The sequence below is a fragment of the Homo sapiens genome, chromosome 4 (assembly GCF_000001405.40).
Source record: "Homo sapiens chromosome 4, GRCh38.p14 Primary Assembly".
NCBI classification, from domain to species: Eukaryota; Metazoa; Chordata; class Mammalia; order Primates; family Hominidae; genus Homo; species Homo sapiens.
The window spans coordinates 153,020,370-153,041,870 of NC_000004.12; the positions used below are offsets into that span (position 1 = coordinate 153,020,370).

Consider the following 21,501-nt stretch of genomic DNA (forward strand, 5'->3'; position numbering starts at 1 on the left):
GCCCCAGGAAGGGATGGAAGCTGTCCTCACCCAGAGAGCCTAGTGGAACAGCCACTGGTGACCTCCCAACCCTGTCTCCAGAATGATCCCCCAGCTTCTACCGCTTCACTACTGCCCCACTCCCCTCCTTCCCCACTCTCCTCCTGCACCTGTTATGGTTTGAATTGTGTGCTCCATCCCCAAACTAGAGATATGTTGAAATAGAGAAGCTCTTACCCCAATTCCTCAGAATGTGACCTCATTTGGAAAGAGGGTTGTTGCCGATGTGGTCAGTTAGATGGAGTCATACTGGAGTAGGGGGAGCCCCTAATCCTAGATGACTGGTGTCCTTATATGTACACAGCCACGTGAACACAGACACACAGGGAGAACATGGCGGGAGGACGAAGGCAAAGACTGGAGTGACGAGGCTGCAAGCCTAGAAACCCCAAAGACTGCCAGCAAGCCCGCAGAAGCTAGGAAGAGTCAAGGAAGGACTCCCCTGTGGCTTTCAGAGGCGGCATGGCCCTGCCAGCACCTTGACCTAAGTCTCGAAGCCTCTGGAACTGTGGGAAAATATATTTCCTCTGTTTTAATCCATCCGATTTGCAGTACTGTGGCACAGCAGCTAATAGGCAGGAAACCAACACACCCTCCTAGCTCATTAGGTTGCCCCAGAGGTTAGTTTATTGTGAAGCTTGTGAAGTGTAAGATTCGGATCCTTCCTTGTGCAGGCTCCTTCCAAAGCCCTGTACTTCATTTTGTGTTTGCAATTTTGTATGCTTTCTCTTAAAAAATGCTCCCCCCAACTGGGTAAGATTTGGACTCCCCAAAACCCGGATCTGGATCCACAGTCCTTGCCCTGCTTGAGCTCCAGCCCAGGCCCCTCTGCCAGGGCACAGCAGAGCCAGAGCAGGGCTCTGGGAAGCCCCCTCAGGGCAGACCCACACGTTCCGCTTGGGTTCTGCGGCATCCCTGCTCTGTGGACAGTATCACCATCAGGAGGCCATGGGAAGAGAGCTCAGTGTTAGGTTGCTTTATCCATTTGTCAGGGAAAAGACTGAATTAGAAACCTTCCGGGGTCTCTTCCAGCCAAGTGCCTTGGGGATAACTGCATAGACTCACATTCTTTCAGAGTCCCAGTGAGAAGCTAAAGTTCCAGCCGGCAGCCTCTGTTTGAATAGAGCCAAAGAGCCTGATGTGATGAGAGCCAGAGCCCCGGGGAGGCCTGTCGTGGCTGCAGCGTGGCCACCCTTAGCCCAAGCTGCTCTGCTTCATGGCTTCCCCACTTCCAACCAGCACTCATCTTCATTCCCTACATTCAGATGGGCAGAGATGGCAGAAATGCCTGCTCACCACCGCCATGTGCACACACGCACACACGGACACGTCGCTTGTCCCAGTGGGGCTTCGTTCTCATCCTGCTTTCCCACCTCCAGGCCACTCCTAATTCAAACCAGTATCTCAAACACTTATGTGGCATTTAGTCTGTGCTAGGTGCTGTGGCGAACGGCACAAGGGTCCTGGGAACAGTGCATTCTCTAAAGAGGGAGACAGATGTGAAAGTAAATAGCCACACCGCATATAAATAACATGAAAGGATGTGGTGAAGGCCCAGTGTGTAAGCAACATGCTATCTGACTTCTTGAGGAGCAATGAATTCGGATTTGGGTGGGGAGTGGGGAGGCTTTATGAAGGAGGCACTGCTAAAAATCATGTGATAGATTGACAGGCCTGACCCATCAGGGACGAGCAAAGTTCCTGGAGGGCCCTGATAGGAATCCTCAGCAGCTGGGCTTGGGAAGGTCCAGGCACCTCACGAGGTAGGTCCAGGTGACTGGGACACGGGAGGGCTCCAGACAGCCGCTATTTGCCACACGGAACCAAAGCATTTCACTGTTTTAACAAGCGGTTCAGCTGGTCCGGAGTATCCCTGCTGGCTCTCAGCCCTAAAGTGGCGTGAGGGCTGGGCACGTCGACAGCACTTGATCCGCTCCTTCCCTCTGGAAATGCATTTCCTTCCATTACCAGAACAGCCTCTCACAGTTTGGCCTGCCTCTTCTCATGCTATGTCGAAACAAAGCCACCTGCCTCCCATGAAAGACGGCATTGTTTTTCCACCTGAGCCACCCACACCTGGGCAGGTAGAACAGCGGGTCCCCACTCCAGGGAGCTCTCCCACTCGGGCCTGTCATGGCTCACACCCCGAGCAGCTGCTGTGCTTGCCCTGTGTGGAGGGTAGCAGGGTGCCTCCTGGGCAGCAGAATGGTGGGGTGCACTGGATAACGAGACAGTGGGTGTGGCTCCCATGAAATAAACAACCCCTGGGCATTGCACATTCAGGCACAGTGCTGCAGTTTTCTTAAAGATGTAATTATCTCTGGGAAAGCTACTCTCCTCAGAGCTCACCGACCCTTGGGGGATAAAATGTTGACAAAGGAAGAAATGTATGAGATTTTGTTTTGTTTTGTTTTTCTTTAGACAATTGAGCCACCCACAATCACAGTTATGTAAAAGTCTCACTCCTGTAATCCCAGCACTTTGGGAGGCTGAGGCGGGTGGATCACTTGAGGTCAGGAGTTCCAGGCCAGCCTGGCCAACGTGGAGAAACCCCGTCTCTGCTAAAAATACAAAAATTAGCCAGGCGTGGTGGTGCATGCCTGTAGTCCCAGCTACTTGGGAGGCTGAGACACAAGAATGGCTTGAACCGGGGAGGCAGAGGTCGCAGTGAGCTGAGCTCGCACCACTGCACTCCAGCCTGGGCGACAGAGAGAGACTCTGTCTCAAAAAACAAACAAACAAAACAAAAAAACACACTTCCATAAAAGCAAATTCTCATAACTGAAGTCTCCAGGAAAAGAGCAAAGACCAGAACCCCGAGCATACGAGTGAGGGTCAGGTGCAGGCCCTCAGGGTGGGGTCTAGGGGCACTAAACCCAGGCTGCTTCCACTGCTGGCTGCTTCAAGGGCTGGTGTTGCTAGGGGTGTGGCCCTGTCTTTAAAATGCCTGTTAAGACATAGATTACCTGGGCAGAGCCTTTGAGATGAGTTTTTAAATTTAGTGGAGTGCCTCATCTGAGACCTTCAGGCAAGAGTGGAGCACAGAGGAAAGGGGGTATGTGGCATGGCATTCTGCGTGTGGGGGTGGGGAGGGGGAGAGAGAAATGCAGAGAGAGAAGGCACCAGCCACAAGGCTTGTCGATGAGAGGTGGCCTGAAGACCCTGGGCCCCTCAGGGCTGGCACTCCTGCAGCTCTTGTTGTCTCTGCCCTGCCACAGAGCACATATGCTCACACCTACAACTTCTCCATTCTGACATCAGCAAAGGGACAGCAAGTTTTATGCTTCAGGTTGTTTTCTTGCCTCCAGTCCTGAAAAGCAAACCTGTAGGTGCTGGACCCACAGAGCACCTCTGAGCCATCCTGTCTGCACCTCCAGGTGCCTGCATGTCCCCGCAGGCCCAGGACTCCTCTGTGCTGGCTGGGCAACTCTTGCTCACTTCCGTTTCTCACAGCCTCCTCTTCCCCCTTTCTCCCGTCTTTGTCATTTTTAATCGTCTCACTTTCCTGTCCACCTTCTCACAGTGTCTTTCTCAAGAGAGAAGCAAACTGCGGGTCAAAGTGCACCACCAGCCACCAACAGCTAGCTTCCGGATCAAGTAGGATGGAAATGGTTTATTCCTCCAAAGACTCTTAAAAGAGCAGCCCCTGCTGCAGAATAGAAAGAGGCTCCAGAGGAGCAGTGAGCTCGAGGAACCCCCCTGAAGATCCCCAGTTTCTGTATGCAGCTGCATCAGGCCCAGACAAATTCTTCCATCTGGAGCGTGTCCCCGCAGATCTTCCCAGCCGCGGCTGTGGTCCGCGTTATCTCAGGCTGTCAGGTCTCAGAAATTAGAAACCATCTCATTTCATCAGGGTCATCCCACACCGTCTGCCACCATAGATGGAGAGGATTTCAAGTGATGTTTTCTGAAGATGGTTCTGTTGTCCCGGGAGAGCCCTTGGCGGACATGGTAGTGCCAGTCAGAGCCCTTGACGCTGTGCAGCCAGGTGGCTTATTGTCCCAGTGACTTTCCAACCAGATACTCTCAGTCAGAGTGAAGGGCTCCACTTAGAAACTCCCTTTCCCATTAACTCGTCAGAGTTATGCCATTCCTCTTTATTCTTTTTAAAATATTTATACTCAAAGAAATTGTATGGGGAGTGAGCACACACCAATCATATAACTGTCAAATGAAAGCCTTTCCTTAAATGTTCAAGGGCGCCGGAGGAATAAATTTGGAGTCATGCAGATCTTGTTTCACGAGTGTGTACATGTGTATGAAACTTTATGTGGGTGGAAAACCAACAAGAGAAAAAAGAGAGCAGAAACTGTTGTGTGATTGCGTTTTCCTGCCCGAGACATCCTGTGCTCTGCATCTGATAACCTGCCACCAGTGAGTATTTTTTATGGGTTTTGGAGAACCCATTATGTGCACCACATTGGCATGATTTGGGATTTTAAGACATGGTCCTTCTCCTCAAGAAGCATATGATCTTTGGGGGAAAATAGAAAAGTTACATGTGTGATTCACTATGGAGCCCCCTCCCCAGCGCACCCCCTAAGTAAAGTTGATGTATGCAGTGCTCGGTGAGGTGTTCTGAAGGGAAGTTTAGAGGGGGAAGAGTGGCGTGGGCTCAGGTTCCAGGAGAAGGCTCCATGGGTGGGTGCTCCAGGTCATTTGGGGAAACAGCAGGTGCCAAGGCACAGAGGCAGGAAAAATGAACACGGGCGGAGGCTTGGAGGGGCTGCAACTGTGCTGTCATTCTACTCCTTGGTTCAGGAAAAGATCAGGGGGCCAGGCAAGATGGCTTACACCTGTAATCCTAGCACTTTGGGAGGCCAAGGCAGGAGGATCGCCTGAACCCAGGAGTTTGAGACCAGCCTGGGTAACAAGGCAAAATCTCATCTCTACAAAATTACAAAAATTAGCTGGGTGTGGTGGCACACACTTGGGGAAGCTGAGGTGGGAGGATCACTTGAGCTTGGGAGGTCAAGACTGCAGCGAGCTGTAATTGTGCCACTACACTCCAGCCTGGGTGACAGAGTGAGAGTCTGTCTCAAAAAAATAAAATGTAATTTAAAAGATTAGGGCCTTTGATTCCTGAAAACTCTGATTGGAGACCATCAGCAGGTCACTTATTCTTGAAGCCTCAGTGTCTCATGAGCAGAAGGCTAAGAGGTGAGAGTCCAAACATGTGACCAACAGTAGCAGCACGGGCACCACCCAGTAAGATCTGATACTGGCTGAGGTCCCTGTTTGGGCCTTGTATTAACCTTTTAGCTGCAGTGTCATGAGGAGATGGCAGTACAGAGTGGCAGGGGGTGCCTGGGGCTCAGGGTGGCAGCTTTTACAGAAGCATCTTGTTATTTTAGCAGCCAGTACAAATGTACTGGTGTGTGCCAGGAGAATGTCAGCCCTGGTAATCATGATACTTGTTCTGCTGACCTTATATGGCTGTGGTAAAGATCAAATATCATAATGAACATGGCAGCACTTTGTAAAGTGTCACAGGCTATGCAAATACGAATTGTTGCTAATCCTGTCATTACAGGGTGGTATGTTACAGTGTGGTATGCTGGGTAGAAAACAGAAATGCAAGCCTGTAAAATAATAATGTAACCAGAAAGAGAGAGATTGTTGGGACCATTTATAATTGGATATTGCTTATTTTATTTAAAAAATATATCATTTAACATAAAGTGCTAAATATTAAAAACTTCTAATATGTCACATTCACAGCAAGATTATAAACCCAAGAGCAAGAATTTGTGACTTACTGCACTTTGTATCCTTTAGAGCAGAGGTTCTCAAACTCAAGACTCTTCACACTTTTATTTTTTAAGAGACAGGCTGGAGCGCAGCAATGTGATCACAGCTGACTGCAGCCGGGAACTCCTGGGCTCAACAATCTTCCCACCTGAGCCCCTTGAGTAGCTGGGACTACAGGTGCATGCCACTGTGCCCAGCTAAAGTCTTCACACTCTTAACAAATTATTAATGAGTCTTCTCCTTTGGGAAGATAGATTAGACAAAATTCCATATTCCTCCCACTATGTACAGCTAAAAACTCTGGACATTCTGTGTGAAACAAACATAAGAAAACTCTGAAAGGTGAACAGAAGGTGCCAGATTGGCTAGGAACCGCAGGACCCAAGGAGTCACACAGTGGTAAGTTCCTGGGTTCATTTTTTGTCCCGTATATTCCAGACTTGGAGCTGAAGAAGCAGGCAACCTGGAAATATCAATGGGCACAGACCAGAAAAGCCCCAACAAAAACCTCCTCTCTCCAGCCAGAAGCCCAGGAAAGGGGTAGCAAAACAAGACGGAAAACTTGTAGACAATAATCACCCTAGGCCAGCCAAAACCCATGACCACACCCAAACCCAGGCTAGCAGAGGCAGGTGGGGAGCCTAGGCCTGTACTCTCATGAGGCTGTAACGAGGCTCCTCAGCACCCTCAGCGGGCTACTGTCGGAGAAGGCCACAAAGGGAGCCAGGATATCATCTCTGCCAGCCTCTGAGTCTCTCTTTCACACACACACACATGCACCACACATATACACACACATACACACATACACACATATACACACGTATACACACCACACTTACACACACGTGCACACACACATACACCTACACTACACATACAAACACACCACACACATACACACCACACACATACACACATCACACACAACACACATACACACAACACACATGCACACATATACACACACATATACACACACGTGTACACCACATACATACACACGTAAACACACCAGACACAGCTACATACACATATACATACACATACATACACATACGCACACAAAACACATATACACACATACACAGACACATACACATATGCACACACATACACACATCATATACACATACACATACCACACACACATATGCACATACACACACGTGCACCAGACACACATATATACACACAGACACACACAAATACACTCACACCACACACACACACACACACACAGTGTTGGTCCATTTGTGCTGCTGTAAAGAAAGAAACACCTGAGGCTGAGTAATTTCTAAAGAAAAGAGATCTATTTTGGCTCATGGTTCTGCAGACTGTACAGGAAGCATAGTGCTGGCATCTGCTTCTGGTGAGGGCCCCACAAAGCTTCCAGTCATGGCAGAATGTGAAGGAGGACCAGCATACCACACGGCAAGAGCAGGAGCAAGAGAGAGAGGAATAAGTTCCAGATTCTTTTAAGCAAGCAGATTTTGTGTGAACTCACAGAGGGAGAACTCACTCATTACCTCAAGGACAGCACCAAGCCATTCATGAGGGATCTGCCCCAATCACCCATGCACCTCCCACCAGGCCCCGCCTCCAACATTGGGGATTACATTTCAACATGACATTTGGAGAGCACAAACATCCAAACAATATCATTCCACCCCTGGCCCCCAAATCTCATGTCCTTCTCACGTTGCAAAACCATCAGCCTTCCTCAAGAGTTCCCGAAAGTCTTAACTTGTTTCAGCATCAGATCAAAAGTCCCATGTCGAAAGTTCTGACTCTCATCTGAGATTCAAGGCATGTTCCTTTAAGCCTGTAAGAGCTTGTAGGATCAAAACAAGTTATTTACTTCAAAGATACAATGGTGGCACAGGCATTGGGTAAGCATTTCTGTTCCAAAAGGGAGAAGTCAGCCAAAAGAAAGGGGAAACAGGCTCCACACAAGACCAAAATCCAGCAGGGCAGACGTTAAACTTTAAAGCTTCAACAAAATCCTTGACTCCATGTTCCACATCTAGGGCACACTGATGTAAGGGGTGGGCTCACAAGGCCTGGCAGCTCTGTCCCTGTTTATTTGCAGGGTGAAGCCCCTGTGGGTGCTCTCATGGGTTGGAGTTGAGTTCCTGTGGCTCTTCCAGGCTCAGGGTGCAAGAGCCCCCAGCTGTGTGGGGTCTCCAACCCCACATTTTCCCTTGGCATTGCTCTAGTAGAGGCTGTCTGCAGGGGCGTGGCAGTGTGGCAGTCTTCTGCCTGGGCACCCAGGCTTTCTCATGTGTCCTCTTAAATCTAGGTGGAAGCTGCCAAGCCTCCTTCACTCTTGCATTCTGTGCACCTGCAGGCTTAACAGTGTGTGGTAGCTGCCACTTATGGCTTGTGTCCTCTGAAGTTGTGGCTTGAGTTGTACCAGGGGCCCTTTGAGCCATGACTGGAGCTGTAGCAGTGAGGATGCAGGGAGCTGTGTCCTGAGGCTGCACAAGGAAGTGGGACCCTGGGCCTGGCCACAGAAACCATTCTTCCTTCTGGGCCTGTGATGGGAGGGGCTGTCCCAAAGACTTCTGAAATGCCTTTGAAGCCTTTTCCTCATTGTCTTGGCTATTAGCACTTAGCTCCCTTTTAGTCATGCAAATCTCTCTAGGAAGTGATTACTCCACAGCCCACTTGTGTTTCTCACCCCGAAATGCTCTTTCCTTCTCTATCACATGGCCTGTTTTGAATTTTCCAAACTTTTAAGCTCTGCTTTCTTTTTAAATATAAATTCCAAACTTTAATCATTCGTTTGCTCCTGTATCTGATCACAGGTTGTTAGAAGCAGCCACGCCACTTCTTGAATGCTTTTCTGCTTAGAAATTCCCTCCACCAGATGCCCTAGGTCTTCACTCTTAAGTTCAGCCTTCCACAGATCCCTAGGACATGGACACACATAGCCAAGTTCTTTGCTAAGGTATAACATAGGTGACCTTAGCTCTAGTTCCCAATAACTACCTCATTTCCTTCCAAAACCTCATCAGCCTGGCTTTCGCTGCCCATATTTCTATCAGCATTTTGGTCCCAGCCACTTAACAAGTCTCTAAGAAGTGCCAAACTTTCCCTCATCTTCCTGTCTTCTGAGCCCTCCAAACTCTTCCAACCTCAGCCCATTACCCAGCTCCAAAGCTGCTCTCACATTTTCAGGTCTCTTTATAGCAACACCCCACTCCTTGGTACCAATTTTCCGTGTTAGTCTGTTCCTGTAGAGGAATCCCTGAAGCTGGGTAACTTATAAAGAAAAGAGGTTTATTTGGCTCATGGTTTCACAGGCTGTACATGAAACATAGTGCCAGCATCTGCCTCTGGTGAGGGCCTCAGGAATCTTACAACCATGGCAGAAGGCAAAGGGGAAGCAGGCATGTCATATGGTGAGAGAGGGAGCAGGAGTGAGAGCAGGGAGGTATCACACTCTTTTACAACCAGACCTCACATGAAGTCATAGAGAGAGAACTCAATCACTACCTCGAGGAGGGCACCAATCCCTTCAAGAGGGATCTGCCCCTATAACCCAAACAACTCCCACTATGCCCACCTCCAACGTTGGAGGTCACATTTCAACATATTTGGAGGGGACAAGACATTCAAACAATATCACACACCATACACACACACACACACAAACACACACACACACGGAGACCATGTCGGCACTTGGACATCCACCCTGACCTGGAAGCAATGAGGCAGGAACCCCTCCTCCCTCCCTGATAGGGTGATGTCAGAGAAAGTTTACTAGAGCATCACAGCATTCATTGCCTAGAGATAATGAGTTCACTTTCACCACAGTGTCAGTGGAGACCCACTGGGAGCTAGAACTCCCACCCCTACTGGGTATATGACATCTCCACCTCGGCTGTCACTGAGTTGAGTGGGAACCCTGGGCTTCCTCCACTTGTAGTGATGAGGTGCTACTCTCCCTTATTTCATGTCAGAGTGGCGTCAGAGACAGCCAATCAAAACATATGATTTAAGTAAGATCCACAGTCTCATAATGCAAAGGAGTCCAGGTTTAATAAAAAAAAAATCACTTATCATACCAAGAGCCTGGAAGACCTCAAGCTGAATGAAAAAAAAAAAAAAGGCTGTCAATAGATGCCAATGCCAAGATGACAGAGAAAGTAGAATTATGAGGCAAAGATTTTAAGGCAGACATGATAAAATGCTTCAACAAGTAATTTTGAACACGCTTTAAACAGATGAAAAAAAGAAAGCCTTAGCAGAAAGAAAAGATACAGAGAAGAACCAAGTAGATATCTTGGAACTGGAAGATACAATAAAAGACATAAAAAGCTCAGTGGATGGGCTCAACAGCAGAATGGAGAGAACAGAGGAAAGAATCAATGAACCAGAAGACAGAGGGATGGGAATTACTCAATCTGAAAAACAGAGAGAAAATGGACTGAAAACGAAGTGAACAGAGCCTCAGGGGCCTATGGGACTATCACAAAATCTCTTAAGAGTTATGTAATTGAAGTTATGGAAGCGGGAGGGAGAGGGGAAGAAAGCTGAAAACCAACTTAAAGAAATAATAGCTGAAAATGTCTCAATTTGGCAAGATACATAAACCTGCAGATTCAAGAATCCAAGCAAACCCAAAATAGGATAATCCCAAATAAATCCATGCCAAGACGCATCATAAACTTCTGAAAACTAAAAAAAAAAAAAAATCTTGAAAGCAGCCACAGAAAAATGACACCTTGCCTACAACCTCCTTCAATAAGCCAATGGCTAAGCAAACCATAATGTATCCATACCATGGAATACTAGTCAGCAATAAAAAAGAATAAACTGTTGATATATGCACCTGGATGAATCTCCAGAGAATTATGCTGAATTAAAAAAAAATAGCCAATTCTAAAATTGCAATTCCAAAATGCAATATTGTATAATTGCATTTGTTTAACATTCTTGAAATAACAACATTATAGAAAAGGAGAACAGACTAGTGTTTGCCATGGGTTAGGGAAAGGATCAGGATGGGAGGAAAGTGGGGGTGGCTGTAAAAGTGCAACATGAGGAATCCTTGTGGGGGATGGGAATATTCTTTATCTTCGCTGTATCAGTGTCAATCTTCTGCTTGTGATAAGGTACTATAGTTTTGCAAGATGTTACCATTGTTACTCAGGAAATTGAGTGAAAGGTGTCCAATATTTCTCTGTACTACTTCGTATAACTGCACATGAATCTATAATTATCTCAAAATAAAAAGTTTAATTTAAAAATTATTGGAAACAGCAAAGAGCTTACTTACATTGATTATATCTATTGATATTTAGTGTATTAAAAACTAATCCAGGCTAGGCGTGATGACTCACGCCTGTAATCCCAACATTCTGGGAGGCCGAGGCAGGCAGATCACCTGAGGTCAGGAGTTCGAGACCAGCCTGGACGAAAGGGTGAAACCCCATCTCTACTAAAAATACAAATATTAGCCAGGTGTGGTGGTGCATGCCTGTAATCCCAACTACTCGGGAAGCTGAGGCAGGAGAATCACTTGAACCCGGGAGGCAGAGGTTGCAGTGAGCCAAGATCGCACCACTGCACTCCAGCCTGGGCAACAGGAGTGAAACTCCGTCTCAAAAAATAAAAAAGATCAACTAAACCAGAAGTCAGGTACCCTGGTTCATGCCTGTAATCCCAGCACTTTTGGAGGCCGAGGGGAGAGGATCATCTGAGTCTAAGAGTTTGAGACAAGCCTGGGCAATATAATGAGACCCCATCTCTACAAAAAATAAAAAATGGCTGGGCGTGGTGGCTCACGCCTGTAATCCCAGCACTTTGGGAGGCTGAGGTGGGCAGATCACAAGGTCAGGAGATCAAGACCATCCTGGCTAACATGCAGAAACCCTGTCTCTACTAAAAATACAAAATAGCCGGGCGTGGTGGCGGGCGCCTGTAGTCCCAGCTACTCAGGAGGCTGAGGCAGGAGAATGGCATGAACCCAGGAGGCGGAGCTTGCAGTGAGCCGAGATCGAGCCACTGCACTCCAGTCTGGGCGACAGAGTGAGACTCCGTCTCAAAAAAAAAAAAAAAAAAAAAATTAGCCGGGCCTGGTGGTGCCTGCCTGTAGTCACAGCCACTTGGCAGGCTGAGGTAGGAGGATTGCTCGAGGTGAAGGTTGCAGTGAGCTGTGATTGCACCACTGCACACTGGCCTGGGTAACAGAACTGAGACGTTGTCTCATTAAAAAAAACAACAGAAAACCAAAACAGAGACATTTAAAAATATGTACTTAATTCATTTGAAAATAACAATGTAATATCATACCTAATATATATTAACATGAATAGCATATATTTAGGAAATTGACTGTTTTCCAAAACAAAGAAAAATTAGTGAGAAAAGTGGCATTGTTTTTCATCTTTCAGATCTCTGTGATGTCTGGCTTAATAGAAGACTGCTGGATTCTCAAATTTGCTTCTGCATTCTATCTCTTACAATATGTTGTTTTAATTGAAGTATATTAAGACAACTCAACCCCACTCGGAAGTGTAGTTGGAAAAGAGAAGAGCATTGTATTAGCCTTTCAAATTGTTGTAGATATTCTTTTTTAATACTACACAAAAAAATTGACAAGTGATACTTCTTTTTAAGATTAGTTATGCACGCCTGTAATCCCTGCACTTTGGGAGGCCAAGGCGTGCAGATCACGGGTTGGTTTCACCAACATGGTGAAACCCCATCTCTACTAAAACACAAAAAATTAGCTGGGCTTGGTGGTGTGCACCTGTAGTCCCAGCTACTTGGGAGGCTGAAGCAGGTGAATCGCTTGAACCCAGGAGGCGGAGGTTGCAGTAAGCTGAGATTGTGCCACTGCATTCCAGCCTGGCGACAGAGCAAGACTCCGAAGAAAAAAAAAAAGATTAGTTGTAATATGGAAGTGATAGTTTCTTTTAAAGATTACTTGCAAGTTGCAATCTGAAACTATATCGATAAGCTTTTCATACTCTGTTACATTAAAATCCACTTATCTATTTACTTTTGGCCTTGTGTTCCTGGACCCCTCTTTGAGAAGCCTTGCCCTAGAGTTCTTAGTCTGAGACCTGATATAAGTACCCAAAAATGCATTGATTTGCTGATGGAATGTCAAAACCCTTTGTTCAAAAGACTATCCAAAGATTGAGCAAATGGAGTGATTACAGGTAGGGGAAAAAGGCTTCCTTAGAAGAAGTAAAAGTGAAAATACATAAGGTAGAATGCATGGCCTTTGCCTCTTCGGTGTTTCCTCAAGCTCGCCCCACGGTGATCTGTGTGCCATGATGCTGTAGTGTTTCCTTAAAGAGGAAAGGACTGTTCTGTCAGTACACAGGCACTGTGTGACATTTAAGCATATTTAAAAGACATTTTATTCTCTTCTCATAGATGAAGATGTTGAATGATTAAAATGGCTTGTACAGGGAAGCCCGAATGGAGACCAGGTGCCAGAATCCCTGACCCTCTCTTCCCCATTCATATCCCCAGCAGAGCCATGAATGGTCCTTTGCAGCTGCTGTTACCAGCTTAAACTTCGCTTCTCTCAACAAGAGAATAAAAGTTCCCCTGTGAGTCTAAATCCATGAAACAAATAGTTCTTTCCCTTTCACAGTGAATAGTAACCCAGAAGAACTCGCTGCCACAAGATATTATTATAGCAAATAACTAAGCAGGGATAAAAACAAGATCAGACACTGTCCAAACAGGGAAAACCATAGCAAACTTTCAAACCCATTTGCTCTGAAACACTAAATGGTCTCTAACTCAAATCTGGGATGACATCTCAGTAAGAGATGATTAGGTGTGGTTTTTAGTTTTATTCTTTTTGTTAAGGAAAAGGTTTGCATTATTCTGAAACACTCTGGGCAAATCTAAGCAGGGATTTGTGTAAATTCTTATGAAGGCCCTGCTGAGTTTTCACTTATAACTATAGACAAGAAGTGCAACTTCACTCTGTCTAGCTTATCCCTAAGGGAGCATGGGTATAGTGTACCATAACGACCTGTTTACCTGCTGGTTTCTCCCTCTGAGAACTCCTTGTAGGAAGGGGCTGTGGCTTTCGGACTCGACATCCCTACTGCTAGCACAGTAAGTCGCACAGAATTGGTGCTTCATTTCTTGTTGAATTTTAACAGATCACATTTAGCTAGTTAGACACTGAGACATTGTAAAGTAGGTAGATAGGAGCTTGCCATTCCAGGTTGTTCTAGAACTCTATGGAAAAATGTTCTGGGATTCCACAGAGGGGGAAATTCAGTTGTGTGTGATGTTGCTTTATCTGAATTTCCTCAATTATTTTCTGTTAAGCTTAATTTGTCAAGCAAAGGGGTTCGGGATGGATCAAAATCATGTCTCAAAATGCCTCTCTTCTCTCTTCCCTTAGGACCTTACTTCAGGCACAAGGCTAGTATGCCATTAGAAATAATTTGAAACGACAGTTTTTAAAACCAGAAATTGTCTTCTTGGTATTATGCCATATCAGAAGCCAAGGGCTCCAGTCCCTTGAGGCATGTTGGAAATTGCTGCATAGATTGTAGCTCTCTCAATGGAAAAATATGGACATGAGATTATTGTCTTATACATTTTCTTTTCATTCTCATGGGTTTTGTGAGTGTACGCATGCTTTAGAAGAGCTCTTAGTTAAATCCAATTACAACACTTTTAGCAACAACAATGAATCTCTACACAATAAAACATTTCCAAGCCCCAGCTGGTGGCCTACGTACAACAGCAATTACACAGTCCCCAGGTTTGTTCTAATGAGATTGGATTTGCGTTTGGGAATCCCTGAGGAATGTATGAATAGAAGATTTTACTTTGGTTTGTGGCTGCTACTAGGGGTATATATATCATTGCTGCTAGATTTTTTTGCTCAAGTTGACTTCATTCATTTATTTTTTTTCACTCAGTCATTACAACTACTATAAAATAGACACTACGCTAGACAACAAAAAATAATTTTTAGGAAAGCACTTATGCATTCCTTACTATAGGCCAGGCACTCTTCTAGATACTTTACTATATGATATCACTTAATCTCCTCACAATCCTGTAGGAACTTTATTAGACCCTGCCAGGAGTTTATAGTCTTTTGAAGGAGACAGGCACTTACACAGATGAATGTGGAACAATATGGCAGGTGCAGTGATGGGGCCATTCCATGGAATTATGGGGACATGGGAGGAAACGTGTGACTCAACTTTCCCACAACACCAAGGTTGAGGGGAAGGTGAAGGATGCTTGAGCTATGACAAATTTCTTCTTTCATGTATAATTACTCTCATGATTTGAGAACATTCTTTAATATTTTATAACAGAGAATCCAATATATGCCACTATGTTTGCATATTTCTAAATATTTAAGTATTATAATTGGTTGTAAAATATACTTTCTCCTAAAAATGTGGACTAAATCTGGCTTCTGCTGTTTTGAGCAATCTATTGATTGAATCTGTATGGAAAGCTATGAGCTTTATTCTCAGAGAAATAAAAGTATGTGATAATTAGTTGAAATTATTAGAAAGCAAATCTAAATATGTTAGGGTGTAATACCTTCACCAAAATTTGCAGCATGGTGATTCACAATCTAAATCCAGATTCTAGATATGTTTTGTTGAGTATCTATGTTTGCAAAAATTTGAAATGTTGAAATATTCAGAAATTTCACATAAAAAATCGTAGGTTGATTTCTTATTAAAATTGAGATGGTTTTATGTCCCTTAGGAACAAAATGGAATATCTGGTAACCTTGGGCCCACATTTTAACTTGAGCAACAACTGGCTAGCCCTAAGAAGTAGCTTCCTTAGTATATAATGAGTTGGTCTTGGAAGGAAGAGAAGCCGGGGGCGAGGTGGGAGGGCATTAGAGACAGATTGTATAATATAAGAAAAGAGGAGGATTTGTATGTGTGTGGTGAACTACAAGTGATTCTTTGTGGTAGTGGTATAAAATTTGAGTCAACAAGAGTAAAGGTGAGGTTGGAGAGGTCAGAATGGGGCAGATTTTGGCAGGCTTTGCACACAACGGTAAGGAGCTTGAACTTGATCCTGTAGGTGGTAAGCGGCCATTCAAGATTTAAGCAGGTGAGCCTCGTGTTAGATTTCTATTCTTTGGGTGGTAGATGGAGGGAGAGTTGAGGCCACCAAGCCTAAAGTCTGGGAGTCTAGTTAAAAAGTTGTTATAGTTATCTAAGAAAGAGAGAGAGGCTTGAAATCTGGGAGTGACCGTGGCAATGGGAATAAATACACAAAGGACTTGAGAGATGGAAAGGAGCATTAAAAAATTCATGGGCTGATAAATAGTAATATGGAGCAAGGGGACGAGGAAAGGAGACAAGGACGACTCATGATTCCAATCACTGCGGGAGTGGCAGTGCCATTTGTAGTGGGAAGAGATCACAGAGGAAGGCAACATAGAAGAGAAGACAGGGCTCATTTCCAGGCATGTTGAGCCTGAATGCCTATGTGGATGGAGAAGTAAAGATGTCCACTAAGCAGTTAGAAAGAGGAGCCTGGGACTTGGTCAAAAGGACTTATTGACTTATTTTAAGGTAAAACTTTGGTTGTAATCAGCATATTAATGGTTGTCAAAACCATGAGGATTTTCTTTCTTTCTTTTTTTTTTTTTCTTTTTTTTAAAGACAGGGCTCCACCACATTGCCCAGGCTGGTCTCAAAGTCCTAGGCTCATGCGATCCTCCCACCTCAACCTCCCAAAGTGCTGGAACTACAGGTGTCAGCCACAGCCCCCTGTGAGGATGCTTAATCACTCGAGGACGGTATAAAGGTACAGAAGAACAGCGAGCCACAGGTAAGACCTGTGGGTCCCCACACCACCAGCTTCCCATGCAGAAGCACACAGACCCTAACAACTCCCGGAAACATTGTGGCAGCTCAGACCAAAGCCTGATTCTTGCCTTTTCAACAGGATGACTTTCTGTTAGTCATCATTTTCTTTCTCACATGCAATCTTCCTTCTATTCCTTCCTTGTTTTCCTTGTTATTTCATAATCCTCCCCCCTGAGGCTTTGAGAATATTATTATAAAATGCAACACTTAGAAAGAGGGCATAGAATGTATGTGTATGGTTTAAAGAAGAATAACAAAATAAACATGCTGTACCCAGCTTGAGAAATAGAATATTCAGATTATAATCTTCCCACTTTGATTTGCATCTCCCAGTATCCCTCCTCCCAGAGGTAATAACCACTATTCTGAATTTTGTGGGTTTAGCACTTTTTTAAAATCACATATGATATCACAAAACGGTATTTTGCCTTCTTGCAGAGGGTCTTGGTATAAATGGTATAAAACTGTGTATATTCTTTTTCATAGCCTTTTGTGACTGATGCTGTTTTTCAATATTCTGCTTTTGAGATTCTTTTTTTCTAATACACGCAGCTGTCATTCATTCTTTCAGTACTGTTTAGTCCTTTGCATACCACAATTTACCCATTCTCTTGTCAATGGACATTTGGGATGTTCCTGAGTTTTGACTCTAATGAACAGTATCTTCAAGAATATTCTTTTAAAAACTTTTTTATTTTAAATTTTTGTGGGTAAATAGAAGGTGCTTCATGAGCATTCTTCCCCATGTCTGTGGACAACATCTGCAACTACAGATATACCTAAAATTAGAATGCTGAATGGGTAGTCGTACTGGTTTCCAAAGGGGTTACACCAATTTATTTATATTTTATTTTATTTTTTAAAGAGACAGGTTCTCTCCATGTTGCCCAGGCTGGTCTTGAACTCCTGAGCTCAAGCAATCTTCCCACCTTGGCCTCCCAAAGTGCTAGGATTATAGACGTGAGCCATTGTGCCTGGCTGATGATACCAATTTATGATTTTACCTGGAATCATCATCTTTTTTAAGTTAAAAATGTCTGGTTTTTTTTTTTTTAAATCTGTATTGGCCGGGCGCAGTGGATCACGCCTGTAATCCCAGCACTTTGGGAGGCTGAGGGGGGCAGTTCACAAGGTCAGGAGTTTGAGACCAACCCGGTCAATATAGTGAAAACCCATCACTTTTAAAAATACAAAAATTAGCCAGGTGTGGTGGCATGCATCTGTAATCCCAGGTACTCGGGAGGCTGAGGTAGGAGAATCACTTGAACCTGGGAGGTGGAGGTTGCAGTGAACCAAGATCGTGCCACTGCACTCCAACCTGGCAACAGAGCAAGACTCCGTCAAAAAAAAAAAAATCTGCATTGATTAATTTTTAAGTAGAAAAAAAGTTACCCATGTCCTGTTACTCAGTTACCAAAAAATGATCATTTTCAGCATCTTTTCACTTGTATTTTAACTTTTCCATTCCACATTCTTTCTCCCTTTCAATTAATTTGTTTTCCATACTTTCTTTCACATATCCCATTCTAAAAGCCAAAATACTCTTTATACTTTTAAAGCCTTGTTCTCTTTTACTGCTCTTCTTACTCAACTCCTCCCGCCCAACCCCCAACCCTATTCTCTGCCACAGTCCCTTAAGGAAGCACCACCCAAGTTCCATCTCCAGGAACTCCCCTTGGATTCATAGGGTTAGAGCCAACTCCCAGCGTCAGAAAAGCAGAAGAGGGCAGGGTGCTGGTGGCCTCTGGAAAATCCCACCATTGGGCTCCCTGTTGAACTGAGTGCAGCCTGGTTCTTTTTCCTGTTTCTTTTTAACATGTGTCATCTGTAGAATTAGCCTGTGGGGCCCACTGGATATCGGGTCTGTTGAACTCCCTGTCTGTTTCCTGAGCGGAAAGGTAAATAGCACTGGGGACTACTCAGTATTTCCCAGAGGTTATTTATGAATGCAGCTCAATGGCCTGCAAATAGAAGTATTTGCACAGTGAGGTGTCCTAAGGTAATGGGGAACACGGACTGCTCATTGCTAGAAACAAACAGCTGTGACCCTAACAGAAGGAGCAGACCAGGGCTTCCAAGTTCCCTGCCAGGGCAGAGGAAAGCCGAGCACTTCCATTTGTCCACAGAGAGTGTCAGGGAGGGATGCACAGGCCACACAGCGCCCAGGCGGGGCTGGGTCCCCTTTGCAGCTGGCAGTGCTCTCTACTCTGCTCCCAGCCACCTGGTGTTTGGGCATCTTGACTCTGGGCTGTATGTGGTGTCTCCCGCGAGCCTTTGTAATTAGTACTGCGGCAAACAGAGAAGGTGCCCTGAGCAGGTTTATCACTTGGCTTTATTTCCAGTGCTTCCTTACCCGGGGTGCCCATACCCTGGAATCACCAGGGGAGCTTTAAAAAAGACTGATGCCCGAGTCCCACCCTCAGAGATTCTGATGTAATGGGACAGGGGTAAGGTCTGGGCATCTGGATTTTTCAAAGTTCTCCAGATAATTCCAATGTGCGGCCAAAGCCAAGAAATGCTGCCTAAACTCAAAGCTGAACAGTTCAGGGATACCAAGGGACCATGCATTGTTTTTCACTTTGCTTTAATAACTACCATTCCCTGAAGCCAGTGTCAGACAAGGTGCTAAGCTCTGAACACACATTAGCTCACAATGATTAACCCTACATTAAAGGTAAGGAAACAAAGGCTCAGAGAGGTTAAGGGACTCACTCAAGTTGACACAGCAAAAGGTCAGGTTTAAATTCTGATATTTCTGACTCCCCTACCTGTCCTCCAGACCCTTCACCACACTGTCTGAGGTAGCCTCTTGTTTGGAGGAATATCAAAGAGGGTTTGGAGAATGAGAGAGCCCTTTCACTTGATGCAGCAGGTTAGCGTGATTTAAAACATGAATGAGGGAGAGACAGAAGAATGCGAGGGAGTGAGGAAAGAGGAGGGAGTTGGCCAATTTGAATTTGGGATCAAAATCCCCTTTACAAAGAAGCCTTTCTTTATGGAGATCAGAGAAGCCACAGTCATCTGCTACAATCTGAGGCCCATCTTGCTGTGGTGAGAGGCAGGCCTGTGCAGAACTCTGACACAGCCTTGATGACAGAGATGAGAAGCACTCAAGTTGCGCCCACAATGTCCACCAGACCCTTCAGTCTGGGGCCCTGGGATCAGCACAGCCCACTCTGCATAGTGCTGGGGATACTGATGCAATTCTGTGGGGCATAGCCAGGTTGGCCAGGAAGGAAGTGGAGAAGAGAGAGCTGGAAATCTGGTGGTGTGGCTTTAGTTTTTCTTATTATCTATTTTCTTGTGTATTAGTTTTTGATGAGAAAAACGAATATGCAAGTATTGATTATTGTGTGAGCACTTATTCTACAAACTGTTGCTCTTGAATTTATCATCTGTACAAGGGCATTTATTATAGACTGAGAATCTATTTTAAAAATCACAACTATAGACCTAAAGCTATTTATTAACATGTACGTCATTTGATCACCTAATTTATATGCAGTGTTTGAATGTATTTGGGGGCCTATTTACAGTAGGAATACTAATTTTGCTCTTTTTGAGCCCAGATCCTCTGCTCTTTTAACCACTTCTAAAATTGTAGCATGTTTCTCTCTATTTCCTATCACCAGAATTTAGAATAATGACAGAAACATTATGCTCAGCCAGCGCTCCCCATAACAATTGCAGTGCAGCCAAGCTGTTCTCCCACACTACCATTTCCTTGCCACGGCTTCTGTCTTAGCCCATTTTCTGTTGCTATAACAGAATACCACAGACTGGGTAATTTATAAAGAAAAGAAGTTTATTTGGCTCATGGTTCTAGAGGCTGGGAAGTCCAAGAACATGGCGCCAGCATCTGGTGCGGGACTTTGTGCTGCATCATCCCACGGCAGAAGGGTGGACAGGAAAACCAGTGTTCAAAACAGAGAGAAAATGGGAGTTGAACTTACTCTTTTATCAGGAACTCATTCCCACCATAACTATCTTATTCCCCTGATAGCAATGGCAATCCATTCGTGATGGCAGAGCCTTCATGACCTAATCACCCTTTAAAGCCCCCACCACCCAATACTGCTACATTGGTAATTAACTTTCAACATGAGTTTTAGCGGGGACAGTCAAACCATATTGGCTTCTGTCCTGCCATCATTCTAGATTGAAGCAGAGATGCCCACATCCTGACCTCTCAAGGCAGAGATTTATCTGGTTTGTTTGTTTTCTAAGTTGGGCCTGGAACATTACCTGAAAGCACCTGCATAAAACTGCTCCATCCCTGCTAAGGAGCTGGGTTTCTTGTATTCTCATCTCCCTGGCTAGAAAGTCATTACCCCAGATATCAGGGTCAGACACAGCTCTCTACAATCACCGTTTTGGTGTATTTGTACATTTATGTTGAAGAGCCAGGAAATCCCAAGGAGTTGGCTTGCTGTTTCTCACTAAGTATATTGAGTGCATACTACACCTTTTATGGAGATCCTGCCCAAGTCTTTCTAACTACAACACAAAGGATCAAAGACTCTTAGCTAATAGCAGCCAAAACACTATTTAGTTCTACTGTAATGATTCTCTCAAGTATTTCAATCATCTAGGTCATTGAAAAAGATTTTGAGAATGTTTGTGTCTTATCTCATCTTATAAAGTCAGACTTAGAAAGTCTGAGCATGAGCATGTGTGTATGTGTGCATACATGGTTACACAGAAGAGTGACAATGGTTGTGACATAGGTGTAATAAGTAGCCATGGTTTTAGGATCTGACCATGGCTACTGTGGCATCATCATTTTGCTGACAAGCAAAGACATTTCTCAGACAGCATTTTTCTTCCCTCTCCAACAGTGGAATATACTGAC

The 21,501-nt window shown here is 44.9% G+C and overlaps 3 annotated features.

Annotated features, from left to right (window-relative positions):
- Positions 806-1,601: an enhancer, noted in NCBI's record as "H3K4me1 hESC enhancer chr4:153942327-153943122 (GRCh37/hg19 assembly coordinates)". NCBI's record gives its function as "activates a minimal SCP1, AML or CMV promoter by ChIP-STARR-seq in primed H9 embryonic stem cells {active_cell/tissue: H9 hESC(primed)}" and the evidence as "EXISTENCE:reporter gene assay evidence [ECO:0000049][PMID:30033119]".
- Positions 3,248-3,789: an enhancer, noted in NCBI's record as "H3K4me1 hESC enhancer chr4:153944769-153945310 (GRCh37/hg19 assembly coordinates)". NCBI's record gives its function as "activates a minimal SCP1, AML or CMV promoter by ChIP-STARR-seq in primed H9 embryonic stem cells {active_cell/tissue: H9 hESC(primed)}" and the evidence as "EXISTENCE:reporter gene assay evidence [ECO:0000049][PMID:30033119]".
- Positions 8,090-8,738: an enhancer, noted in NCBI's record as "OCT4-NANOG-H3K27ac-H3K4me1 hESC enhancer chr4:153949611-153950259 (GRCh37/hg19 assembly coordinates)". NCBI's record gives its function as "activates a minimal SCP1, AML or CMV promoter by ChIP-STARR-seq in primed H9 embryonic stem cells {active_cell/tissue: H9 hESC(primed)}" and the evidence as "EXISTENCE:reporter gene assay evidence [ECO:0000049][PMID:30033119]".